The sequence below is a fragment of the Homo sapiens genome, chromosome 15, assembly GCF_000001405.40.
Source record: "Homo sapiens chromosome 15, GRCh38.p14 Primary Assembly".
In the NCBI taxonomy this organism is placed as follows: Eukaryota; Metazoa; Chordata; class Mammalia; order Primates; family Hominidae; genus Homo; species Homo sapiens.
In genome coordinates, this window is record NC_000015.10 from 21688571 (window position 1) to 21715636 (window position 27066).

Consider the following 27066-nt stretch of genomic DNA (forward strand, 5'->3'; position numbering starts at 1 on the left):
TTATCCTTTTAATGTGCTGCCAGATTTAATGTGTTAGTATTCTGGCATTTATGTTCATCAGAGACACTGGATTGAACTTTTCTTTTAGTATCCACCTGTGGCTTAGGTATCAGAGTAATGCAGGCCTTCTAAAATGAGTATGCCTATTCAATTTCAATAAATTGGTATTAGTTCTTTTTCAAATGTTTGGTAAAATTTAAAACAGAATCCATTAGGTCCTGGGCTTTTCTTTGCTGTGAGATTTTTGAAACTATTGATTCAATTTTATTCCTTATTGATCGGTTAAGATTTTTTATTTCCTCTTAATTTAATTTTGACAAATTGTGTCCAGAAATTTATCTATTTCTTCAAGGTTATTCAATTTGTTGTAGTATAGTTGTTAAAACTTACACAAATTAAGTTTTTTCTATAATTTTTGACATATTTATAATATCATGTATTCATTTCTACAGCATTAGAAAGAATAATTTCTTCACCCTAAATTGTTCTTCAACTTAAATTATTCCACTCTTCTTTCTTCTCCTTGTACTCTTGGTAACCACCAGTCTTTTACTGTCTCTATAGTTTTAATTTTTCTAGAATGTCATACAATTGGAGTCATACAGTATATAACCTTTCAAAACTGGCTTCTTTCAGCTAGCATTATGCATTTAAGATTCATTCATGCTTTTTTATGGCTTGGTAGTTAATGACCTTTTTATTGCTGAATAACATTCTATTGTAAATATAGCACAGTTTGTTTATTCATACACTCGTTGAAGAACATTGTGATTGTCTCCAATTTTTGGCTGTTAGGGAATGAAGTTGCTGTAAACATTCATGACTGGGTTTTTGTGTACACATGTTTCAAATCAGTTGGGTAAGTGCCTGGGAGTGTGATCATATGGTAAGGCTATGCTCAGCTTTGTAAGAAACTTCCAATTTGGTCAAGATGTCTGACTAGTTGCAGACAGATAGAACAGCTGTCACTGTGGGACTGGGATGACTGGCACAGTCCTAACAGGTCCTCAAGACACAAAAGCTGGGCAGAAGCTGGGTGGGGCTACCGTGCAATGGGACTCGTTCCTCACCCCCAAGAACTTTGGGGGAATGGGTGAGTTGAACTGGCAAGAAGCAACCTACTCTTGCCACAAGCCTCTGGAATCCCACCGGGAGGAGACCCCTCAACCACTACAGACACAGAGTTGGCAGGGGAAGTGCTTAGAGGAGTGGTAGGAGCAGCATGGTAGCCGATATGGAGCCCAGAGGGTTTGTTGCAGGAACATCTATAGCAGAGCACGGCCAGGGATACCCATCTCTCCAGACTTGACTTGCCTCCATAGGAGACTTTAGCCCTAGGGGAACTGTCAGATATGAATTCTGCAGGGCAGTCTTCCCATCAGATGGGGCAGATCCAACCTTAGTACCCCCTGGTCTGCTGACCTCTCCCAGTGCTCCAGCCTGGTTTTTTTCTGCTTGCAGTACAGACTCAGGTTCCCTGGGGACCCGCATCTTAGCTTCTGCAATGGCAGACCATATCTAATTGGTGGAGAGCTCCAGCGGGGTGGCCCCTAGGGCCATGCACCAACCTGCCTGCTCCCTCCCTCTGCTGCAGCTTCTTCCAAGCCCATGGCCAACCACCCCTGCCCCCTGACATCATTTGGCTGGCTTGTATGTGTGCAGGTGGATTTTCCCTTCCCTTCACCACCAGCTTGTGTGAGCACGTGTACGCTGCCCTGCCTCTGCTGCCAGCAGGAGTGCACTCTGCTCCCCTTCCTCGGCCATACTACCATTGCAGTCAGAGCTGTAGTGGGCACAGAGCCCACCAGTCCTGCCTCTGTCAGTGACCTGCCCCTGTGCCAACACTGCCACCAGAATGAAACTAGGCACTGAAAACAATGAACCCTCCCCTGCCCTGAGTAGCCACAGAGGGTGCACACACACCTGAACCCACCAGTGTCCTGCCCCCATACTAACACCACCATCAGTGCACCAATGCACACAGTCACCAATGGGGGCCTGCTGACCCCCCAAGTTATGCTGACTCTACCCCTGCTGTCAATGCCTTCATGGAGGCAGGCATCTCAGCACCTGCTAGCAGTCTGCTGCAGCTGACAAGCATGCATCCTGATTTAATACTGCTGGTTCTGGTGCTGCTGAGGGCACCTGTGAATGAGGACAGACCCCCCCCCCTACTGCCACCACACTACAAAACCCTTTGACTAGCACCATTCCATCAACGTGTAGTGACCAGCAGTCCAGGAGCACCTTAGCACCCCCATCACAGTCTGTTCATAATCTTGAGAAGTCAGAGAACAAAGTAGGGTAGGATATAAGTCCCCCAGAATTAAAACATGCAGCTGGGGAGATGACAGCTGAACCTTGGTCCCCAAAATCTTCCAGAAATAAAGCCAGTTGACTGAACCCACTTTATAACACAATCAAACTCTCAAAGTCATCTAATAAGATAAAAAAAAAATCCAAAGGACAAGAACTTCAAAGATTGAAAAAACACTAGCCCACAAAAATGAGAAAAAAACAGTGCAAGAACTCTGACAAGTCAAAAAGCCAGCATGCTGTCTTTCCTCCGAATGCCTCCACCAGCTCTCCACCAAAAGTTTTTAACTGAACTGGGTTGGCTGAAGTGACACAAATAGAATTTGGAGTATGGATAGAAATGAAGAGCAACAAGGTACAGGAGTATGTTGAAACCCAATCCAAGGAAGCTAAGAATCACAATAAAACAATGCAGGAGCTGACAGACAAAATAGACAGTATAGAAAAGAACATAACTGACCTGATAGAACTGAAAAACACACTGCAAAAATTTCATGATGCAATCACAACTATTAACAGCAGAATAGACCAAGCAGAAGAAATGATATTAGTGCTTTAAGACTGGCATTCTGAAACAAGACAGGCAGACAAGAATAGAGAAAAAAGAATGAAAAGGAAGAAACAAAACCTCTGATAAATATGTTTATGTAAAGAGAACAAATCTATGATTCACTGGTGTCCCTGAAGGAGATGGGGAGAATGGCAGCAACTTGGAAAACATATTCCAGGATATCATTCATGAGAACTTCCTCAACCTAGCTAGAGAGGCTAACATTCAAATTCAGAAAATACAAAAACCCATTTAAGGTACTTCACAGGAAGATCACCTCCAGGACACATAATTATCAGATTTTCCAAGGTTGAAATGAAAGAAAAAAATGCAAAAGGCAGCCAGAGAGAAAGGTCAGGTCACCTACAAAGGGAAGCCCATAAGACTAAGCAGACCTCTCAACAAAAACTCTACAAACCAGAAGAGGTTGGGGGCCAATATTCAAGATTCTTAAAGAAAAGAAATTCCAAACTAGAATTTTACATCTAGCCAAACTATGCTTCATAAGTGAAGGAGAAATAAGATCCTTTTCAGACAAGCAAATGCTGAGGGAATTTGTTACTACCAGACTGACCTGCCTTACAAGAGCTCCTGAAGGAAGCACTAAATAAGAAAAGGAAATATCATTACCAACCACTTCAAAAATACACTGAAGTACATAGACCAATGACACTAGAAAGCAGCCACACAAACAAGTATGTATGGTAACCAACTAACAGCATGATGACAGGATCAAATCTACACATATCAATACTAACTTTGAATGTAAAAGGGGTAAATGCCCCAATTAAAAGGCACAGAGTGATAAGCTGGATAAAAAAGCAAGACCCAATGGTATGCTGTCTCAAGAGACATGCAGTGACACGCATAGGCTCACATGCAATGACACGCATAGGCTCACATGCAATGACACACATAGGCTCACATGCAATGACACCCATAGGCTCATATGCAATGACACCCATAGCCTCAAAATAAAGGGATGGAGGAAAATCTACTAAGTAAATAGAAAACATAAAAAATACAGAGATTGTAATCCTAATTTCAGACAAAACAGACTTTAAACCAACAAAGATAAAAAAAGACAAAAAAGGGTAATGACATAATGGCAAAGGGTTCAATTCAACAAGTAGTGCTAACTATCCTAAATATACGCGCACTTAACACAGGAGCACCCTGTTCAAACAAATTCTTAGAAACCTACAAAGAGACTTAGACTCACACACAATAATAATGAGAGACTTCAACACCCTACTGACAGTATTAGACACATCACTTAGGCAGAAAATTAGCAAAGATATTCAGGACCTTAACTCAGCACTGGATCAAATGGACCTGATAGATGTTTACAGAACTCTCCACCAAAAAGCAACAGAATATACATTCTTCTCATCACCCCATGGCACATATTCTGAAACTGTTTCATGGAGGAAACTGTTTCATGGAGAGGAAGCCACAGGGCTGACAGGAAACCAGACCTTAACCTCCCTCTGCACCTGCCCTGAGGCTGGCTCTTGTGCTCAGTGGGTCCTGAGCGTCCCCAGGTGGTCCTGTTCCCTCTTCAGGGAGGCTTGTTTCTGGGCTCATACTGACATTTTTTCTAATTGTGTTCCCCAAAATGGAGACAGAGTAAACCGTGAATCCATGCATCTCAGAGAACACAGAACAGCAGAATTACACCCACTGATCCCCCCACACACATTTAGGTAAATCTTATTAAAACTGCTGAAAAGGAAAGACAAATAGAAATATATGCAGGCAAGTGGAGGTGAGCAGAGGGGGCATTCCTTCCAAAAGAACAGAAAAGATGATGACAGCATTCTTCTGGTTAAAACCTTACAAGCAAGAGGAAAGTTGATGGTATCTGTAAAGTGTTGGATGAAAAGTCAACCCATTATTTTATAACGCATGGGTGTTCTCTAAAAAGTGAAAAAAAATTCTATTTCTCTTCGACAGCATGAGGGTTTCAGTGAATCCAGGCCCTCATGAGACCAGTGAAAATTATTTTGAAAAATTACAGGGTTTGGAAAGGCTCTAACAGCATAAAGCAAGTGAAGAAATATTTATTCAAGAAAATCTAGAAAACTCGGTAAGGCCAGTCATCATGCTTGATCTAAGATGATCTTCCTTCCTTCCACATCCCAGCTCAGCATGATGTAAACTCCACTGCCGACAGATGCAGCCAAGAAGACAGGACACCTTCTACCAACTCCCACCAGAGGAAACTCTTCCCCAGGGCCCAGTACGTTGGCCCTCTGACCCTGCACACAGCACATGATGCTGAGGTTCAGTGCTGAACAAGAGCTACCGAGAGCCAGAGACTCACTTCTTCCATGGAGCCCCACTCATGGATGGAGGCTCTGCCCCGGGTCCAGTGCCACTGGGAACACTGGGTCTCTGGTTTCTAGCTCTGTCCTATGGCAGAGGTTCCACCCCACAATAACCGAAGTGCTGAGAAGGTGGGAAGCTCCTGCCCGACCCTCCACTGAGAGCTCAGCTCCTAGGCTGAGGAATAAAACAGCTCAACTTTGTCTACACCTGCAGAACCTTGTTTAGGAGCTCTGTCCCAGGAGAGAGGGAGCAATGGAATTCAGTCATAAAATATGATCCTTAATTAGTCCTAAAAATCCTAACTTCAGTAACAACAGAATGTGGACAAATTGAAAGCCTGCCAGTGCTCTCAAAAACAGTGGATGGTGTGGTGGAAAGCCCTTGGAAGGAGATGGGTGGATGCATGGGAGATGCAGGCTACACTGCAGGGCTGCTGGCTTGCAGGAGAGAACCGAGAATGAGGGAGAGCTGGGGAAAGTTCTCTTGTGGTTGAAACAAATGCCAGACACTCTTCAATGGAGCCCATGTTTGTTTGGTTCAGTCTGTGAAGTAATTCAAACCTCAGTGCATGATTGAAAATAGTACAATTTTCCATCTGCAAGTGGCAGCCCTGGATGACTGGATGGTCTATAATTGGGACACGTATCTAGACTCAACGATGCCTGGATGGAAAATGTGCAGGCTGCTCCACTGATGTCAGCTGTTTCATCACAGTTTTATGATTTAATAAAAGTCATATTTTTTTTCATTTTTGCACATCAAATTTTTTTCTGTGATCCATATTCCTAAGCCCATCTTTGAGCTCACAGCCCTTTCCCAAGAAATCAACATCTAGACCTCCCTCTTCTCGGGGCTCCGAGGTGATTCCTGAGTGGCATCCTCTCCACCTCCCTGCTGGGAACAGAGCCAGTTGCAGGGCTCACGGGCAGCCTTAGAATGTCTGCTCCTCCGGGGTGTCCCCCTGCTTCTCACTGGAGAAGAGGCCTCTGGGGTGGTCACAGCCTCTTTCTCCACATGAACCCTGAGAGTTCTTCCTGAGCTACACAGCTGGGGGAAGACTGCCCTAAGAGACGTGAAAAGAGAGACATGGGAAGTGAGGTGTCTCAGCTCTTGTCTCCCCTGGGTGGTGTGGCCTGACCTCACCAGAGCCCCAGCCTAACCCACCTGACCTGTCCCCAGGAGCTGTACTGAGCGATGGCTGCACCTGCTCAGTTACCTGTGGGGCCCAGTGCCTCTGAGAGAGGTGCCCAGTGAGGGCTCTGCAGGGCTCCCCCCGAGCAGGAGCTGGGCTGAGGGAAATCAGCAGGAGGTAGGGGCTGCCCAGGCCCTGGGGAGGCAGGCAGCGTGGAGAGGACACAGAGGTGCACTGGGAGGGCGCAAGCCAGTCAGGACCACCCTCTCAGCTCTGAGAAATGAGCTATGCTCACGGAATGCTCACAGTCAAATCCTGCTGGGAGGGCCATCCTCTGCTCGGGTTCTCTACTGTCCAGGGCAGGAATGACTCATGTGGCCATTCAGAGGCGAGGCCCCACCAGGAAGCATCCACTGACTGCCCAAGGCTGTGCATCCCCATAGCGCTGAGCTCATGTCCCTGACCTGTGGCCTCTGGGCCCACACTCTGCTCAAAGTTCCCTCAGGGGGATGAAGGGAGAGGCGGGCCCTAGGGCAAGGGTGCCCAGGAGGAGAGAAGGAAAAGGCAAGCATGTCTTCATCAGTGGGGTTTTCTCCTGAGAGCAGAATTCATTTCCACACCTTCCAAGTTCCCTCTTGTGGCTGGCACTTCTCTGACCTGGAGCCCCAGATGGCGGGGCACTCAGAAGAGGGAGGGTCATTCCTGGGAGCAGATAAGGCCTCCTCCTTCTCCAGCTCCTGAATCAGAAACTGAGGCCTCCCCTGGACCTTCCCTGCTTATGACTGAGGCCTCCCACGTGCAAAGCACACCTTCATCTTGCACTGAAGTCTCAGGACCTGGAGAGCACCTCCACACGGGGGGCTGGATCCTCCTGGAACTGTAAGCCTTGCCCAGAAAGCCCTGAAGGGGAGCAGGGAGGCGGCAGCAGCACAGCCTTCTTCAGCTTCCAGGGGAAGGGATGAGGGAGGCGGGTGGACGAGCTTCCAACCGGCATGGCATGGGATGCTGAAAAACGCGATGGGCTCTGGCCTATTGGAGCCATCTCTCCTTGTCCTGTACCTGCCCCTTGGGGGTTTAGGGCAGAGGAAATGTTGGCTTGTTGTGTGAGTCAGATAAACAGGTGGGGAGAATGGGCCCGTATGCCCTGGTTTGCACAGGAAAGGTGTGCTCACCAGCAAGTGTTTCTTCTAGAAATTAAGTAATCCTGGGACAGGCTTTTCCTCCCCAGTTCCACAAGACTCCAAGATGTCAGAGTATCATAAACACGGAGAATAAGGACACAGGATTAACCCAACCCAACCTCTGATGGTTTCATGTCATGTGAAGGAATTTTTGGAGTGTTGATGCTGAAGAGTTTACAGAGTGTGGCTACATCAGTTGCCCTAAAGGATATAGAAAACATTTTACTGTGAGAGTAGAGAGGAGGAACACAAGTAGAAGTATCAAGAGTCGCTGCCAGCCAGCCCATAAATAGGTTTCCCATTTGTATGACAGCCAAGAAACCTGGTCTGAGACAGCTGGGGTCGCAAACAATGTCTTGGTGCAGTTATAAATTTCTTTATGCATGTATTTTTCTAACAATAATATTTTGGTGTCTTTCTTGGGTCAAGGTGGCAGGTCCTCTAGTCACATTGTTGGAGTGCATGGATGGATGGGTTAGTAAATTATTTCTCAAGATTAGTGGTAATCAAAAGGTGGAAGTGTTGGTGGTGGTCGTAGTTCAGAGATGCGGGTTGGGAGTGGGAAAAGTTACTGGGGAGTGGGTGGTTCTCTCCTCATGGTGTCAAAGGGTTGATGGATATGAGGCAGGTTCCTTTGTGTGCAGCAATGACCTCTGCTGATTTTCAGACTGACAGAGATGGTAGTAACCACTATCAGATTTCTCTGTATGAACAGAAATGTAGTGTAGCATGTTGTGGCAAACAGCAAGGAGTGCACTGGGATCCTGGACCAAATGGACAGCAAGCTCAGGGAGCACAATAGGATCCCTAGTATCCAAGGGACAAAAGCAAGGCATGTCCAATGCCTTATTGTTTCATTGAGAGACTTCCCAGGCCATGACTGGTGTTAAGGTTTAGGGCACAACTGTCTCCAGCTCGCCGGGGAAAAGCCAAAGCCACCTCCAGCTTTGAGCCCTGGGCCAGGCCGATGTGCTCTAGGATGGGGTACTAGGGTGTCCTTTCCAGGTGGGCATGTGCTCAAGCGGACTGACTGGCTATCAGCACTTGCCGTGTTTGGTTGAAGTGATGGCCTATTTGGAGGTTTCTGCCCTTTGGATTATAACAAATAAGTCCACAATACAAGCAGCCACATGGACAATGGTGAGACCAGCAGTCAACAGAGGGGTGCTTGGCTGCAGTTGGCAGGTGTTGATGTTGTTTTCATTTGTTTTTTGAGTTTGTTTTTGTGGAACTTTACGTTCAAATGGGCTCATATCAGATGAGCAGCCGACTGACCCACGGGACCCTCTATGGCTAATCATCCGAGGAGAGTTTTTACCCTCAATAGGTTCTCCAGCCCTTATGAGATAAGAGCAACATCAAACATTTGTAAAGATATGGAAATAATATTTTAAATAGCCTCAATAATGCAATGAATATAAGCCTATAAGTATCTCAAAGGGTGATGGAGAAGTCCTGAAAGCTGGGATGAGGGCGACTCAGCTAAGAGCCTTGAATTTAGGGAGAGTTAGTTCTACAGAAGTTGGAGATCCATTGGGTGTCCATTTACTGGAGTGGAATTTGAAGGAATTGTTTGAGGAGATCAGTATGTCTCTGAGTTAAACCAGCCCATAATTAAGTTCTATTGAATGGGGCCTAAGAGGCATGAAGTTCTATCAAGTGGCTTTTTCTGTATCCAGCATTGTGTGTTTTGAAAAGTAAAATGTGTGACTTGGTTACTGTCAGCAAAGTATGCAATTTTGAAGGACATTAGTGTCCCACCAAAGCCTCGTATTGTGAACTTATTATGTGCAGAGATATGAGCCACTTGATTTATATTTTCAGTGTCTGGGAGGCAAGAGACTTTCAGATTTCCTTACCCTGAAGACAGCTCTTAAACAACGTCTGAGCTGTTTATAATAAATGTGGAAATGGAGCCATTGGTTCGATAGGGCACCCAATGCTGGTGTGACTGCCTGATGTCTGCCTAATTTTGGGGATCCCCAGCCCCATCCTTTGTTGGGACATATGGCCAAGAGAGGGAGAGCAGAAGCATGCCCCAAGCCCCATCACTTGTCATCCTTGCAGCCCGCAAATGCCAGTCACTGTCCACTCAGTGAGTCCCAGCGTTCTTCCCATGTGGCCGAGAGGTGGCCTCCTCCAGCACTTGGGCACCTGCCAGGTGACTGTGGATATAGGAAGCCAGTCCTGCTGCAAGCAGAAATGACAGAGGGCCTGGGTGTTGCTTTATCCTGTCTTAAGAAGGCCTCTGGAGCCATGCTAAGTGTGTGGGGTGCTGTTCCCGTGACCCCAAACACAATAGTTAGCTGGATGTGTCCAAATAGTCCAGGTTGTAGACAGCAATGTTCAGTTGAATGATTTATAGTCCAAGGCCAAAGGGAGCAGTTACTTGCCTTGGAAACTGTCGAGCATCTTAAGGCCACATTGATCGCCCAGAGACACCAGGAGGCATGAGAAGGGTTTGCCAAGTTTCTTTAGTGAAGGAGTTTCTGAGGATACTAACAGAAGAGCCTGTTGATTTTAAATTAGGCACACTGTTGAGCCTTTTGTTGAAGGAAATTTCATTTAGGGGAGGTGATTTATAAGTAGCAACAACAGCGAGGCTAGTTGAAATTTATGGGTGAGGAATATGTTGCACCAGAACCCACAAGGAACAGCAGGATGTGGCATTTGTATGTCCTTAATGAAAGTATGGGGAGCATCTCCTCAGAGGAGGTGTCAGCAGTGCTGCGGAGGAAGGCAGATGCAGTGAGGAGCCAGCCTGCGAAGCTCTCATGTGGTGGCCACGCCGCTGAGGTGCCCGCGTATCCTGAGAAGGGTGTCCTTCCCAGGCAAAGACAATCTGCAGCTAAGGGGCTGCTGAGATGGGCGCTGAGTACAACCAATTAGACACATCTGGAAGAGCAAAGTCTGCACTGGCTGTTGGTTAAAGCCAGTCGTTTTGAGAACATTGGGAGTATGGGGCCCTAATGGGTGGGGCCACGGCATGAAAGTTGTGACAATCCAACATAGGGCAACCTTCATGCTATTGTCTTTTCTTCTTCACCGGTTTAAGAACAGGCAAGATTTGGCTGTGAAATAGAGAAGCAATGGGAAAAATCACCTCTTTATTGATTAGATTTGTATAATAGTTTTTAATCTTCGAAGGTCCATTTTCACTTCTGTTGGAATATATTAACTACATAAACTGGAACTCTTTGAGTTCCATTTTATCAAGCCAATGCACAAGTGCCAAACACCTCATTCCATTTTAATTTAATTCATTGTGTCAGAGTGTATGCCCAATATGAGATATTTTAGGACAAAGGACATTATGATCATGTGAAATCTAGGCAAGGCAACCGCTAAAGTGCGGTGTGTCTATTTCTTCTTCCAAATATATTGATTTCTATTTAATTATCTTAAGTTCACATGGGATACATGTTTAAATCTTGAAATCTAATGAATTTCCTAGGTATAGCTATTATTGGAGCCCTGGTATTGATCACAAAGTTTGCCAATTGGTGCAATCCCAAAAATGCTAAAGTGAAATTACAATGGACCAGTATACAGTTCCAAGGTCAGAGTCTGGAAGGCGTTTCACAGAACTAAAGACTTGAGCACCAGCCATGCTGCTTCCTTCTAGAGTTATCTGGGAGAATCTATCTCTTGCCTTTGCCAGCTCCTAGGGGCGCCTGCGTTCCCCGGCTGGTGGCTGTGTGACTGACCTCCGCTTCCATCCCACACCTCCCCAGTCTTGGACTCTGCTGCTCCTCTTTCTCCTCATCAGGACCCCAGGGCATATGGCATGCACAGGCCAGGGTGACTGTAACATCCAAGGGCCTCTATCACGTCAGCCCAGTCCCTTTGGCCCTGCAGGTGATGTCTTTGTAGAGCCCCAGGACTATGGCATGGGCATCTTTGGGGGGCATTCTTCTGCCTGCTGCAGGATCTAGATTCCCCTCTCTAGAACCTGTAGTGTAGAGGGGCACGAAGCCAACCAGCTTCATTTTCAATTTTTGTCTTAGAAGTTATTTCAGTACAGAATTTTGTATATAAACTTTGGATTTCTAATTGGTCAAATGATGGACATTTATTTAAATTTAGTTATATATATACATTATATATACCAAAGTGATATATAATTATATAAATAATTATAATACTGTTATAATTATATAAATAATTATAATACTGTCATAATTATATTAGAAATATACTATTATAATTTTATAATAATTACATTTATATAAAATATCTATATGTAGTTTCATGATTATTTAGTTCCTTTTCATTTTTGGAACCTATGCTAATATTTCCCCTCTATTGCTCCTCTTTCCCTAAGGTCTCGAGTTCCTCTGAGCCTGATGATGAGCCAGGACAGGAAGGGGCCTGGGCCTCCAGGCAGCAGCATCTCTCCAGGATGCCCCCAGCCACAGCATAAGGAATTCCTACACTTTTGTTATCTTAAACAAAACCTTCTAGAATTCCTTCTAACTCTAGGAGACTGAAATGTATTTTTCTTTCTTTCAACTGTCTCCTGTCTGTCCCTGACTCCCTCACTCCGTTTTTTAATGTTTGGCCATTTATCTCATGAGCTTACTAAAAATAAATTGTATACTCAGCAATGGATAACATAGAAGAAATGGATAAATTCCTAGATATGTACAATCTTCCAAGATTGAATCTTGAAAAAGTAGAAACAGAACTATTACTAGTAAAAGACTGAATCAGTAATCGAAAGCGAGCTTGGAACCACTTCCAAAAGTTTTTTTGTTTGTTTGTTTGTTTGTTTTTTGAGATGGAGTCTCGCTCTGTTGCCCAGGCTGGAGTGCATGGCATGATCTCTGCTCACTGCAAGCTCCACCTCTCAGGTTCACGCCATTCTCCTGCCTCAGCCTCCTGAGTAGCTGGGATGACAGGTGCCCACCACCATGCCCGGCTAATTTTTTGTATTTTTAGTAGAGATGGGGTTTCACCTTGTTAGCCAGGATGGTCTCGATCTCCAGACCTTGTGATCCACCCATCTCGACCTCCCAAAAGTTTTAAGATGAAGAAATACTTCTAAACTTATTTTATAAAGTCAGCATTGCCCTGAAATCAAAACCAGGCAAACACCAAATTAACATAAATTACAGACCACTCTTACTGAAACACAAAGATGCAAAAAGTACTCAACAAAATATTGGCAAATCAAACTGAACAGCACATTACAAGGATCATTTGCCATGATCCAGTGGAATGTCTCTCTGGAATATTGGGATGGTGCAACATCTAAACATCACTGAATCTGATGGACCACATTAACATAATGAAAGACTAAAATATTATCTCATCAGATGCATAAAAATCATTTGACAAATTTCAACATCTTTCCATGATAAAACCTCTTAACAAACTACAAATAAAGGGAAATTATCTGGACATATTGAAAGCCATATTTAAAAGCCCACAGTTAGCATCATAGCCAATGCTGAAACACTGAACAAGCTTCCACTTAGATGATGGAGAAGACAAGGATGCCCTATCTCACCAATTCTGTTCTACATAGTATTGTAAGTCCTAGTCAGAGAACTTAGGCAAGAAAAAGTTACTAAATCAGAAAGAGAGGAGTAAAGGTGTCACTGTTTACAGATGACATGTCTTGTATGTAGAAAATCCTAAAAATTGCCCCCCAAAATCAAAACAAAACCAAAACAAAACAGCTGTAAGTTGCTAATTTGTGTGTATAAAATTGGTGTTCTGCAAGATGAATAAGTTCTGGAGACTGGATGCACAGAATCCTGAGTCTAGATAACTTGACTGCACAGTACACTTAAAAATTTGCTGAGAGAGTGTATCTCATGGTAGGTATTCTTATCACAATACAAACTTTAAAAGTTGTATATGAGGACATTGGTACTGCTTTCATATTATTTATTATGAATGAATTTCCAAAAAAAGTGTTATCAGTAATGAGTTGAGGTAATGAGTAATTCATATACAGGAATAGCCTCAAGAGAACAAGAGGAAGAGATGCATTTAGAGTAGAAATCCTCACACTTTAGATGCATTTTAAATGTCTGGATAATGGAGTACTTAAAAAGGGATGTGTCTGTCTCTTCCCCCAACTATTGAGAATTAGTTCCTGAGTAAATCAAAGAACATTATTTTATCCAGCCCCGGTAGGTCCTGAGGTCCTTGTCTCTGGCATCACAGAATGGGTTAGAGTGCAGGGCTGGCGTAGAGCTCCTGAGACAGTAATGTGATGTTGTCCAAAGCTCCATGGGTGAGGAGAGCCACACCACAGGTGGGACCCAAGGAAAGAGCCCAGGAGCTGTGCTGGGCTCAGCACTGAGGAAGCAAGACCTGGGCCTGTGGATAGGGGGAGCTGCGCTAGAAACAAGGAAGGGCAGGAGGGAAGAGGGGTTGGAAGGAAAGTAGCCCTGGGATCAGAATGGCAGGGCTGTCCTTTGCCTATTCCCATTTGTCTCGCAGACCAAGTGTCCTCCAACCACCAAATGTCAAGTGACATGCGTGCCACATGAGTTTAGGAGGAAAGGCACTCTACACAACGCTCAACTACCAGGAGGTAGGGGCCATATCTTAACTTTTCTACTTATAAAAAGAGTCAGCTAGGCTGGGCACGGTGGCTCATGCCTATAATCCCAGCACTTTGGGAGGCCGAGGCAGACAGATCACATGAGGTCAGGAGTTTGAGACCAGCCTGGCTAAGTGACAAAACCCTGTCTCTACTAAAATTACAAAAATTAGTCAGGCATGCTGCTGGGCACCTGTAATCCCAGCTACTAGGGAGGCTGAGGCAGGAGAATCGCTTCAACCCGGGAGAAAGAGGTTGTAGTGAGCCGAGATTGCACCACCGCACTCCAGCCTGGGCGACAGAGCGAGACTCTGTCTCTAAATAAATAAATAAATAAATAGTCATCCACCCCGTGTAATTTTTTGTTTTAGCTCTGGGGTAAAATCCACCCCTGGGCTGTGGAAGCATCCAGTCACTTCTCAGACTGGGACGGTGTCTCTGGGGAAGACAAAGGTGGGTTCAGAAGAAGATGAGATTGCTGGGCCTTCTCCTGTGCCTGCTGACACCTCCCGAAGGTGAGCATCTCAGAGGCCAGACACGGGCTGTGGCAATAACTGTGATGTCCCATGACTGACAGGGACTGACTGTTCTTGTTCCCAGCTGTCCTGTCCCAGGTGCAGCAGCAGGAGTGAGGCTCAAGACTGGAGAAGCCGTGGCTGCCCCCTTCCTCACCTGGCACGACTCCGGATTCTCCATCACAGCCAGTGGTTACTGCGGAGGCCCGGTCCACCGGCCCCTAGACAAGGGGTTGCACTGGCTGAGGAGCATCGATTATAAGAGAAACACGAACAACCGCCGCCTCTCAAGAGCCTCATCTCCATCCAGAGACTCATCCAACAAGCAGCGCTCCCTGCGGCGGAGCTCCAGGAACCCACAGGACAGCCAGGTATTCCTGTGGGAGACACAGTGAGGGGATGCCGTGTGAACCCAGACAGGACCCTCCCTCCTGGGGGCCTGAGATGTGCAGGATGCACTCGACACTTGGGTCCACTGAAGAGCAGGCTCAGATGGGAAGTGGCGAGGACTTCTCCTTAGAATCTGAGGCTTTCTTTTCTCTAATTCTCAGATGTCCTCAGGGACATTTCATTCTCTTCTCTGTGGCTCTGATTTCCCCCTTTCTCACTGCAGGCAAAAAAGGATGAAATAACTTTCTCCACTGGCAGATAGGCTGTTTCAATTTCATAGAAACCTTCCCTTCATCCGGCTCCCACGTGGTCTGCTTTTTCCTTCATCTGCTTCCATGTGGTCTGCTTTCCTTCCTGAAAAACAGGTCATGTTCAGGATTCACACTTGCTCGAGAAATTCTTCCCTCAAACTCCAGTTCAGACCAGGCACACCCTCTCCCACATCTGTCCCCACGTGGACCCTTCCATGAGATGACCCCACCTGTCCCCAGGTGGACCCTTCCCTCAGACGAGCACACCTGTCCCCAGGTGGACCCTTCCCTCAAACAAGCACACCTGTCCCCACGTGGACCCTTCTCTGAGAGGAGCACACCTGTCCCCACGTGGATCCTTCCTTCAGATGAGCACATCTGTCCCCACGTGCACCCTTCCCTGAGACAAGGACACCTGTCCCCACGTGGATCCTTCCTTCAGATGAGCCCCCCTGTCCCCACGTGGACCCTTCCCTCAAATGAGTACACCTGTCCCCACGTAGACCCTTCTCTGAGAGAAGCACACATGTCCCCAAGTGGACCCTTCCCTGAGTCAAGCACACTTGTCCCCAGGTGGAACCTTCCTCCACACGAGCACACCTGTCCCCACGTGGACCCTTCCCTGAGACAAGCACACCTGTCCCCACGTGGACATTTCCCTCAGAGGGGCACACCTGTCCCCACGTGGACCCTTCCCTGAGACAAGAACACCTGTCCCCACATGGACCCTTCCCTTGGAGGAGCACACCTGTCCCCACGTGGACCCTTCCTTCAGACAAGCACACCTGTCTCCATGTGGACTCTTTGCTCAGAGGAGCACAGGTGTACCCATGTGGACCCTTCCCTGAGACAAACACACCTGTCCCCACGTGGCCCCTTCCCTGAGATGAGCTCATCTGTCCTCTTCCCCAAGGCGAGCACACCTGTCCCCACGTGGACCTTTCCCTGAGACAAGCACACCTGTCCCCACATGGACCCTTCCCTCAGAGGAGCATAACTGTCCCCATGTGGACCCTTCCTTCAGATAAACTCACCTGTCACCACGTGGACCCTTCCCTCAGAGGAGCACACCAGTCCCCATGTGGACCCATCCTTCAGACAAGCTCACCTGTCCCCATGAACCCTTCCCTGAGACAAGCACACCTGTCCCTACATGGACCCTTCTCTCGGATGAGCACACCTGTCCCCATGTGGGCCCTTCCCTGAGACTACCACACCTGTCCCCACGTGGACCCTTCCTTGAGACAAGCACACCTGTCCCCACTTCGATGCTTCTCTCAGATAAGCACAACTCGCCCCACCTGGACCCCTCCCTGAGACGAACTCACCTGTCGCTACGTGGATTCTTGCCTTAGACAAGCACCTCTGTCCCCACGTGGACCCTTCCCTGAGGGAATCACACCTGTCCCCAGGTGGACCCTTACCTCAGACAAGCATGCCTGTCCCCAGGTCAATCCTTCCCTCAAAAGAGCACACCTGTCCACGTGAGGACCCTTCCTTGAGACAAGCACTCCTGTCCCCACATGGACCCTTCCCTCAGACGAGCTCACCTGTCCCCATGTGGACCCTTCCCTGAGACAAGCACAGCTGTCTCCATGTGGAATCTTCCTTCAGACAAGCACACCTGTCCCCACATGGACCCTTCCCTCAGATGAGCTCACCTGTCCCCATGTGGACCCTTCCCTGAGACAAGCACGCCTGTCCCCATGTAGACCCTTCCTTCAGAGGAGCTCACCTGTGCTCAGACACCACCAGGGTCCTCAGACACTAATAGGGTGGCTCAGACACTAATAGGGTGGCTCAGACTCTAAGAGGGGGGCTCAGAAACCACCAGAAGGGCTCAGACACCACCAGAGGGCGCCCAGCAACCACGGAATGCTCAGAACCTACCGGGGGCGCTCAGGACCTACAGGGGTCGCTCAAGACCTGGCTCAGGAGCAGATGCAAAGTGAAGCTGAGGTTTCCGTTTTCTCTTTGGGGATTCCTTGTCCTGCCCTGCAAAAGCCTTGCTCAGCAGCTATTATTGTTTCTTCCCTGGAATTCCCCAGTTCCTCTCATCTGAAAAGGACTTAGAGCAGAAATCCCATTTAACTTTTCACACTTCATTTTCAGTCTCCTTCTAGTGATATTTCAGTAAAATATTAATAAGAAATAATGAAGCCACAGTCCAAATGTTAGCACCATGCAAAGATTCGTGTGTCTTCTCCACTCTGTCAGTTACGCCTTAGGAAACTCTTCTCTCAATCCACTGCTCAGTGTACACTATGGCATTGTGTTTTCTTCTTTGCTTTCATCTGCTTTGCAGGGAAATGAAGCACCATTTATTGGGACGTGTCCTCCATTTCTGATGGGCTCCCCGTGGTCTCCACCTCAGATGGTTTTGCCACCATCTTTAATCCGTTAATGCCTTCAATCGCCCTCACCATCCATGTAATGAAGCAATGAATGCCTTTACTTCATCTACTTGTGTCTCCATCAGTCAGTTCACTTCTCTCCATTCTCACAAAGGACAGCCACCCACTACTTCAGAGCCTCCTGCAGCCTTGGGTGGTAAACCTATTAAAAAGCCCCTGCTGTTTAGAAAGGGTGTGTATTGGAAACTTAATCCCAAATTCCATAGTGTCCAGAGGTGAGAATGTTAAGAAATGATTAGGCCGAGAGGGCTCTGCCCTCATGAAGCAATTAATGCCATTATCATCAGAGTAGGTTACTTATTGTGGTAGCAGATTAGTTACTACAGGCCTGGGTTCCTCATTAAAAAATGAGTTTAGCCCCCTTTCCATCCTTTGCACATGCTCTCCTGCCTTCCACATGGGCATCACAGCAAGAAGGCTCTTGCCAGATGCTAGCACCTTGACATTGACTTCCCAGCCTCTAGAGCTGGGAGAAAATAAATTTCTTTTCCTTACACATTAGCCAGTGTGTGGTATTCACTCATTGCACCACAAAGTGGACTAAGACAAAAAATCAGTATCAAGAGGTGGGGCTGTTGTGATAACAAATATCCCAAAATGTAGAAGTGGAAGTAGTAATGCACAGAGACTGGAATAATTTGGAGGATCAGGTTATAAAAAGTCTAGATTGCCATGACTAGAACACTAGGGGTATTCTTTTGAGGACTCAGAAGAAGACAGCTGTGAGGAAATTCTGAAACTTCTTAGAGATTATTTAGGTGATGATCATTAGAATGTTGGTAGAACCGTGGACAATAAAGGCCGTTCTGATGAGGTCTCAGGAGAAAAAGAAGAATAGCTCATCGGAAAATGGAGCAAAGGCCATCCTTCCCTTAAAGTGGCAAGGAATGTGGCTGAATTGTGCTCATCCCTAGGTCTTTCTGTAAAGTGGAAGTTCAGAGCCATGAGTGAGGATATATGGTGGGAGAAATTTGAAGCAAATCTATGGCCTCACTTCTAGCAGGCACTTTAGGACTCTGTTCCCTGTGTCCAGGCACAGCACTCCTTGGCTGCCCATGATGTGGCTCAGGAGGACCTAGGTGTGGCTCAAGCCATCACTTTAATGGTACAAGTCATCAACTTCCATGGCATCCATGTATTGCTAATTCTGCAGGTGTGCAGAATACCACGAGGGCATGGCTTTCTCCACCTAGATTTCAAAGAATGCTGTGGACAGCCTAAGGTCTCGGGCAGTGAGTTGTTGCAGAGACAGAGTCACCACACTGGACCCTTAGCACAATGCCAAGCAGAAATATGGGTTTGGAGGCACCACAAAGAGTTTCCAGTCAGCCTAGGAGAGCTAGAGGCCTGAGAGTCCCACCTGTGAGAGGGGCTGAGTGGACTGAACCCAGAAAATCCATAGAGGCAAGACTGCTGGAGGCCTTGGGGGCCCTTCCCCCTCCCCAGTGTGCACAAGATGCCGTCAAAGAGGATGATTTTCCAGCTATAAGACTTTTTTTTATTATACTTTAAGTTTTAGGGTGCATGTGCACAATGTGCAGGTTAGTTACATATGTATACATGTGCCATGCTGGTGTGTGCACCCATTAACTCGTCATTTAGCATTAGGTATATCTCCTAAAGCTATCCCTCCCCCCTCACCCCACCCCACAACAGTCCCCCGAGTGTGATGTTCCCTTTCCTGTGTCCATGTGTTCTCATTGTTCAGTTCCCACCTATGAGTGAGAATATGCGGTGTTTGGTTTTTTGTTCTTGCGATAGTTTACTGAGAATGATGATTTCCAATTTCATCCATGTCCCTACAAAGGACATGAACTCATCATTTTTTATGGCTGCATAGTATTCCATGGTGTATATGTGCCACATTTTCTTAATCCAGTCTATCGTTGTTGGACATTTGGATTGGTTCCAAGTCTTTGCTATTGTGAATAGTGCTGCGATAAACATATGTGTGCATGTGTCTTTATAGCAGCATGATTTATAGTCCTTTGGGTATATACCCAGTAATGGGATGGCTGGGTCAAATGGTATTTCTAGTTCTAGATCCCTGAGGAATCACCACAAGGACTTCTACAATGGTTGAACTAGTTCAAAACCCAACAAGGGAAAAAAACATTAAGTCTCAGCTATAAGACTTAATGTTTTTTTCCTCTGTTGGGTTTTGAACTAGGCACTGCTTTCTCCTTCCCTGTCTCTGAGCTTTGGAATGGGAATTTCTATCCCATACCTGCCCCATTGTTCACTGTATTTGAAAGTAGATAACTTGTTTTGACTTTATAGGCTCACAGATGGAAAAAATTTATATCAGGCTAAATTGTGCCTTGAGTCACACTCACATCTGATTTAGATGAGACTTTAGACTTCAGACTTTTGCACTGATGCTGGATAAGACTTTGGAGACAATTGGGATGGAATGAATGTAGTTTGCATTGTGATAAGGACATAAATTTTGATATTAGGAATGGAATGCTATGACTTAAATGTGTCTCCCAAAGTTTAGGATTTGGAAAAAATCTTTAATGCAACAGTGTTGAGAGGTGGGACCTTTATTATGTGATTAGGTCATGAAGGCTCTGTCCTCATGAATGGATTAATGTCACTGTCATTGGAGTGGGTTAGTTATTACAGGAGTGAATTTCTAATAAAAGATAGTCTCCTTTCTCTCGTGGACAAATGATCTCTTGCTCACCCACCTCTGCTGTGAGACGACACAGTGAGAAGGCCCTTGTGAGATGTCAGTGCCTTGATATTAGACTTCTCTGACTCAAGCACCATAAAGTATAAATTCCTTTTCTTTAGAAATTGCCCAGTCTCTGGTATTCGGTTATAGTAACACAAAGACAGACTGAGACTAAGCCATTGTAACATGTGTGAGGTGATATCTCATCGTGGTTTTAATTTGCATTTCCCTGATGATTAGTGATGTTGAGCATTTGACTCTTTATGTTAAGTGAAATAAGCCAGGTATAAAAAATTACTCCATAATCTCACTTACACATGCAATCTAAAAATGTTGAACTCAGAGAAGTAGAGAGAAGAATGGTGCCAACCAGGGGCTGGTGTCAGGGGCATGTGAAAGCTGAGGCATTGGTGAAAGGGTACAGAGTTTTGGTTTGACAGAAGGAATTAGTTTGAAGATCTATTGCACAGCAGGGTGACTTCCATGGTACTAATGTACTATATACTTGAAAACTGATAATAGAGTAGATTTTACACGTTTACACCATAAAAAATAAGTATGTGAGGTGATGGGCATGTTTATTTACTTGATTTAATAATTTCACAATGCCTGCATATGTCAAAACATCACGTCATACCACCATAATATATGAAATAGAATATGTTTTTCTAGTAAGTGTGATGCCTCTGTTTCTCTTTTTTTTTTGGAACAAAACAATAAACACCTTTATTACATGGGTGAAGACAAAACAAGGATTTATTTGCCCTTCCGGGCCTTGATTTTCCTAAGATAGAACTCCAACTCTTTGCCCTCTAGCACATACCCATCTGCTCAGCCACACTGTCCTGGCCTTGAAGCAATGCATGCAAGAAGCTTGCCCTGCTGGAACTGCTCCCCCAGGAGACTGCTGATTTTGGCATTCTTTTTCCTTTCATGATATTTCTTCTGAATTTTTTTAGATCGCTTTTTGTTCAAAATCTCTTCTTCCTCAGGAGTCAGCTTGGCTCCCTTCTTGCAGCCCAGGGGCGGCGCATAGTGGGACTCGTACCACTGTCGGTACAGTGTGCTGTCAATGAGCACAATGCAATTCTTCACCAGGGTCTTGGGACGAACCAGCTCGTTATTAGATGCATTGTAGACAACATCGATGATCGTTGTTTTATGAGCACAACATTCTGAGCCCCAGGAGAAATTCCTCACGTCCAGCCTCAGGGCACAGTATTTCTTGTTACCTCCCCACACACGGACTGTGTGGATGCGGCGGGGGCCAGTCTTGGTGTTGGCAGCTGGGTGCCCCAACTCATACTTCCGCTTCTTGTGGTAGGGCTTTCTCTTGTCCCTGGTTTTGTGGCACTTGTGCCAGTTGTCCCAAGAGATGTCCATCGCTCGGCACTGGCTGGAAAGAGGGCCTCTGTTTCTTTAACAACAGTTTCTGGAGATTGTTTTTCCCTTGAACAATGTTTCCTCTCTGCTGTCTTTACACAGTTTTCCTTTCCCAAGGGTTGATTTAAGACAGTGACAATTTATCTATTCTGTATCTGGTAGTTTCATGGAGAAATTTAATGAATAGCCACTTGAAACCATGTGGTGCTACTGAGACACCATCTGAAGGAGACAGATTTTCTGAGTGTAGGCCACAACCATATGTTAACACATTTTAAATTCAAAATCAGGGTTTAAATTTTGATATTTTACAATGGCTTCTTTGATTCCTTCCCAAGATCTAACCATTGAGCGTGTGAAAAGGGCTGGGACTCAGTTTACTGCTGTGCTTGGCATGATGATGTCCTGCAGAAATTCCTTTGGCTTTCTACATGTAGCTCAGCCTCCATATCAGCCAGCTCGCTTGGAGGTCAGAGTACTTCTCAAAGATCCTCAGTGTGTTGTTTCATTTTGAGAGGTTTCCAGCCCTTGTGAGACACCCCTTGGTTTTACAATCATCGCAAAGTTGTTTACGATTCCAAAAACATACCTGCCATCTGTCCATATGTTTGTTCTGCAGCTTTTGATTTCCTAAAATGCTGTAGTAACTGCAATAAGTTCTACCATCTGGATTAATTTTCACCTCAGATGGAAGAGTATATTTTAAGATAAAGATAAAGTAGTAACAGTATATTCTCCTCGGTAATATCCATTTCTATATTTTGAGCTATGGTCCATCAATAAATAATGTTCTGTCAGGCTCCTCAATGGAGTGCCTGAACATCTAAGGAAGGTACAGAAGGTACAAAACAGAAGTTAAGGTACAAACCATGGTGAACACAAGCTTGCTATGCTCCCATGTCTCCTGTCTGTCTTACTGTGCACCTGACACTCATTTTAACCTCACCAGGAAGTCAGTTAACTCTCAATCAGTTTATTGTAATGCCTCTAGGTAATTATATGTGGCAGTTTCAGCAGAAATGAAGAAACAACTTCACTAGAGAATCTAATACAGAAGAATGCAAGTGGCCCTGGGCTTGTTTTCATAAAAGCAGCATGCACCAGGCAGTTGATTCTCTTGGCTGTCGGCACTGAACACTCAGCATGCTGGCTTCGTCCCCTAAATAAGCTTCATCATGCATGGATAGGCTGGCAGCAATCCCGAGGCCATATGCAGATACACAGCCAACTGGGAAATGGGACACAATTCTTCTCCACTCCTCCTCTGAAGAATGGTCTGACAATGCCCTCTTCAGTTCCTTCCCTCTGCCACCCTGACCAGGACTATGCCATATGTGCACAGAGACACAAAATTCCTGATGGGAAGAATGAGGCTGGATCAACCAGACTAGCGGTTTCTCACTGAGGTAATGTGAGGTCAACTTCTAGGGTGGACAATTCAGGAAATTATCCAGCAGTTTTGTAATTGATGGCTATGGGAAAATGAACCACTGAGATGAGTAATTACTTATATTCCATTATTCCATGTGAGAAACAGACATCACAGTTCACCATAACTAAATTTTCATAACCTAAATTGATTACTTTAAATTTCTTCCTACATCTTCACTTAAGAATTTTTAACCATGAATGTGTCTTACCTATATTCCCAATATTTAAAATTGGGCTGTCAAGAGAGTCTAGAGAATTCGAGAACTAAGAACAGTGAAACTCCTGTATGTTCAGCAGCTCCCAAAGCAACACAATATTCCCCAGGAACACTGTTCTGTGCTTCAGCACAAATCATGCTTGTGTATTTCCTAATGGCTCCAATAGTGACCCTCCATTCCCATCAAACATTTGGCCTCCCCTTTCTCCACTCCCCTCCATTCATACATTATACTCTCAGCTCTGTCTAGGGTATCATAAAAGCCAGCAGACGGACCCTCCTGATCTCCTGAACGTGAAACCTAACACTATCATGCGATCGGCTCCTCTTGGCATAGTGACCTTCAAAGGCATCTCATTTGAATAATTACCTTTTTTTCCCTTCTGTAACAAAGTGTTTCTTTCCATTGTGCCTTCCCATAAGCATTTTAACATAATTTACTGTCCGACTACAGTTATTAATACACACAAATGCCACAACCTCTTTCTAGCCCAGGAGACCTGATTAATTCTTCTCTGGGGATGAGCACACCCTAGAAACACATCCCATTCACATAAACACGGGCACAACGATGACATGTTCTTGAGTCTACACCATTCTCCGTCCAACTCCACGAGCCCCTGAAGACCAAGACAGGCTCTTTCATGCCTGTGCAAGCTCTGGCCCAGGGACAGCCTGCTGAGGAATGGGCTCAGCTGGGTCTGGGTGCTGGGTTCATCTCTTCCCCTCTCCTGTCCCAAAGCAGGTCCATCACCCTGCTCAGGTCTGAACAGGAGTGTCCAGGTTTGTCTGGCCATCCGACTTTTTCAATGTATAGAAGCTCTCCTATTACCTACTGTATTCATTTTATAGGGCTTTTATGACAAAATACCACAGATCGGATGGCTTACAATACAAAACCAATTTCCTCACACTTATGGAGGATGAAAGCCTAAGATCAAGCTGCCAGCTGGGTGGGTTTCCTCTGAGGTCTCGCTCCCTGGCGTGCAGATGGCGCCTTCTCGCTGTTCTGTGGTAACATGGCCGTCCCTCGGGGCGTGTGCACCCCCCCTCCTGCTTCCCCTTCTTATAACAACAGTCAGATTGCATTAGGGCCCCACTCCAGGAATCTCACTTTAACTTATTTAGCTCTTTAAAAGACACTAATCCAAGTATGATTTCATTCTGAAGGACCAAGGGTTGGGACTTCAGCACATGAATTTAGGAGGGACACAGTCTCCCCTAGCAGCCTCCTCCAGGGATGTCAAATAAAAGGAATAAAAGGACACTGATGCTCCAGAGGGCCTTGAAAGCTTGCAGCTGCTTTGTTGTGGTGGGACATGGGTAAGCCCGCACCTTATCTATGATGGCAGATGGAATGACTTTAGTTTTACCAAACCAGATGACACCAACTATTTGACTGATAAGCCTGGACCCTGGATTTTGTCTGTATTAACCTCCCATCCTCTGTTCAGCAAGTGAGACAGCAAGACAGGGGCTGCAATTTATAAGCTGAAAAAAGACTCAGAAGTTACCATGATAACACCAATGTAGTGGAAAACATGTATCCCCTTTGGGTCAGCCCATCAACTGAGGTTGGAGGTCACTAGGCTGTGAGAGTTGGGCTGTGTAAATATCCCTGGAACAAGACAGTAAAAGTCCATTGTTCTTTTTAGGTTAATGCAAATTGATCTTGAATGTGGGGCAGCAGAAATGCTGAAGAAGGTATTGACTAAACTGATAACGAAATGCTATGTGGCTAACACCTCTCCTATTCTCGTCAGACTGGAGGAGATATTAGGAACAGCTGCATTCACTCGGGAGACCACCTTATTTAACTCCCAGTAATCTACTGTCATTCTCCATGTCCCAACTGGCCTCTGCATGGGCCATGCAGGTCTGTTGTAGGAACTGTGCAGTGGCCTCCTAATGCCTACCTGGGCTAACTCCTTAACAATCTTCATGATTGGATCATCTTCCCCTCCCCAGGGCGGGTGGTGTTGCTCCAGCTGTGGGACTCCCCATGGGTTGGCAGCTCTACCGGCATCCAGTTTGCCTTCTGCTTGGTCACATGCGTCACCACTTTAACTCTCAGTTGGAATTCCCTGGCAGTTGTTTGGAGGGTCACGCCTAAGAAGATATCCATTCTCATGTGTTCTAAGATGGAAGCTATGTATACTAAACAGGGTCTGGGTGGCAGTCCCCCAGGTCGTATCACTAGTTCAACCTGTCTGACTTCTGTGGCCCTTCCATAATCACCTATTGCTGCTATGGGCCCAGATAACTGGTAGGTGTTGCCAGTTAGAGCACATTTGTTGTCTGGCCACGCTGACTGGCTCCTTGGCTGTCTCTCTTCCTTTGGTGCCATTGTTTTTCATCACAGTAGGGTGCATCCCTTGCTTACTCAGTTTCTTCTTTTCTCCTAAGTCAGCAACTACCTGGGGCACATGAAATGTTGGCTGCCCTCCCAGGGGGCTTAACATGGAAATCAGTGCACCATGCCATTTGGTAGGCACTGAATACATAATTGTAGCTTTTATTTTGCAGTAAACAATTCATTGTTGGGACTTCAATAATTCTCAGCATAATTAGCATGCCTCATTTCAACTCCCAGAAGATGTCCTGCAACTCTTCTATAGTCTGCCATTGAGAAGGAGCTGTGTGGGCATCTTCCTCATTGGACCTGGCCCCGCTGGAGCCTGCAACCACTTACCATAAAGGTGCCATCATAGGGCTGGATGGTTTGTGATGGGTGCCATTTTACTCATCTTGAGTCCAGAAAGTATAACACTCTCCACCCCCTGTCCCATAGAGAAGCCACCCTGTGATCCACTCTCTCCCCTTGTGTCTGAATCCAAGTCTAAGCTCCCCCAATTCCACAGTGGTGGCATCCCACATCGTGGTTCACTGCCTTCTCTTAGGTGGGGGAAAGTTCTGTGGGGCTAACTTCTGCTGGCACAGTTGGCCCACTTTTATGTTGGTGGTGACCACCACAAGTACCATTTGGCTACAGACTGTGTCCTGGTATTCCAAGGCTTTTGTGTCTGGAAGGCATCCTTTAGCCAGCCTGCTAAAGGTTGTTCTGGATGTGGAGTGGCCCTCTGTCACATCCTCCACTTGTAAGGCATGACATGTAGTGCGGTTGTTACTCCTAAACAGTATATCTCACTTCAGCTTCCTTCTGTCTTTGAGACCAGGGTCTTAGGGACACACACTTATGTCCTTGCCTTTAACACAGTCCCCACCTAAACCCCTCAGGGTAACTGACTACATCCAATTCACAGGGCTGTCCCTGCACTAGAACTCCCAAGGTTTGTATTCATTTCACTGTGACTTTAGCTTCTTCAGAGCCCTCATCCTCCCTTTTGGAACAGTCGCAGTGGGGCACCTTCTTGACTAAGTGCCATGGGGGCCTAAGGAGTTTGCCGAAATGGGGAATAAAGGATCGCCAATGTCCCAGGAGGCCTTGGAAGGTTTCCAACTGCTTTGGTGTGTTGGGACATGAGTAGACCTGCATCTTATCTTATCTATAATGAAATATGGAATAACTATAGTCTTATGTAACCAGATGACACCAAGTATTTGACTGATAAGCCTAGACCCTGGACTTTGTCTGCATTGACCCCCCCATCCTCTGTTCACCAAGTGAGACAGCAAAGCAGGGGCTGCAGGGCAAGAACCTTTATGGAGTCATCCTAACCTTCATCTCCTTCCCACTGGAGCTCTACATCGGACAC

At 45.9% G+C, this 27066-nt stretch overlaps 1 protein-coding gene across 1 annotated transcript, besides 4 other annotated features; it reads right to left on the reverse strand.

The window, feature by feature from the left end:
• Positions 5970 to 6471: an enhancer, noted in NCBI's record as "H3K4me1 hESC enhancer chr15:22424973-22425474 (GRCh37/hg19 assembly coordinates)". NCBI's record gives its function as "activates a minimal SCP1, AML or CMV promoter by ChIP-STARR-seq in naive H9 embryonic stem cells {active_cell/tissue: H9 hESC(naive)}" and the evidence as "EXISTENCE:reporter gene assay evidence [ECO:0000049][PMID:30033119]".
• Positions 6472 to 6971: an enhancer, noted in NCBI's record as "H3K4me1 hESC enhancer chr15:22425475-22425974 (GRCh37/hg19 assembly coordinates)". NCBI's record gives its function as "activates a minimal SCP1, AML or CMV promoter by ChIP-STARR-seq in naive and primed H9 embryonic stem cells {active_cell/tissue: H9 hESC(naive and primed)}" and the evidence as "EXISTENCE:reporter gene assay evidence [ECO:0000049][PMID:30033119]".
• Positions 14331 to 14832: an enhancer, noted in NCBI's record as "H3K4me1 hESC enhancer chr15:22433363-22433864 (GRCh37/hg19 assembly coordinates)". NCBI's record gives its function as "activates a minimal SCP1, AML or CMV promoter by ChIP-STARR-seq in naive H9 embryonic stem cells {active_cell/tissue: H9 hESC(naive)}" and the evidence as "EXISTENCE:reporter gene assay evidence [ECO:0000049][PMID:30033119]".
• Positions 14833 to 15332: an enhancer, noted in NCBI's record as "H3K4me1 hESC enhancer chr15:22433865-22434364 (GRCh37/hg19 assembly coordinates)". NCBI's record gives its function as "activates a minimal SCP1, AML or CMV promoter by ChIP-STARR-seq in naive H9 embryonic stem cells {active_cell/tissue: H9 hESC(naive)}" and the evidence as "EXISTENCE:reporter gene assay evidence [ECO:0000049][PMID:30033119]".
• On the reverse strand, positions 21025 to 21702 carry LOC102724737 (40S ribosomal protein S8-like). Its single transcript, XM_047433400.1, has one exon. The coding sequence runs from the start codon at positions 21700 to 21702 to the stop codon at positions 21151 to 21153; it is 552 nt and encodes a 183-aa protein (XP_047289356.1). The 3' UTR covers positions 21025 to 21150.
• Positions 21703 to 27066: the final 5364 nt, after the last annotated feature.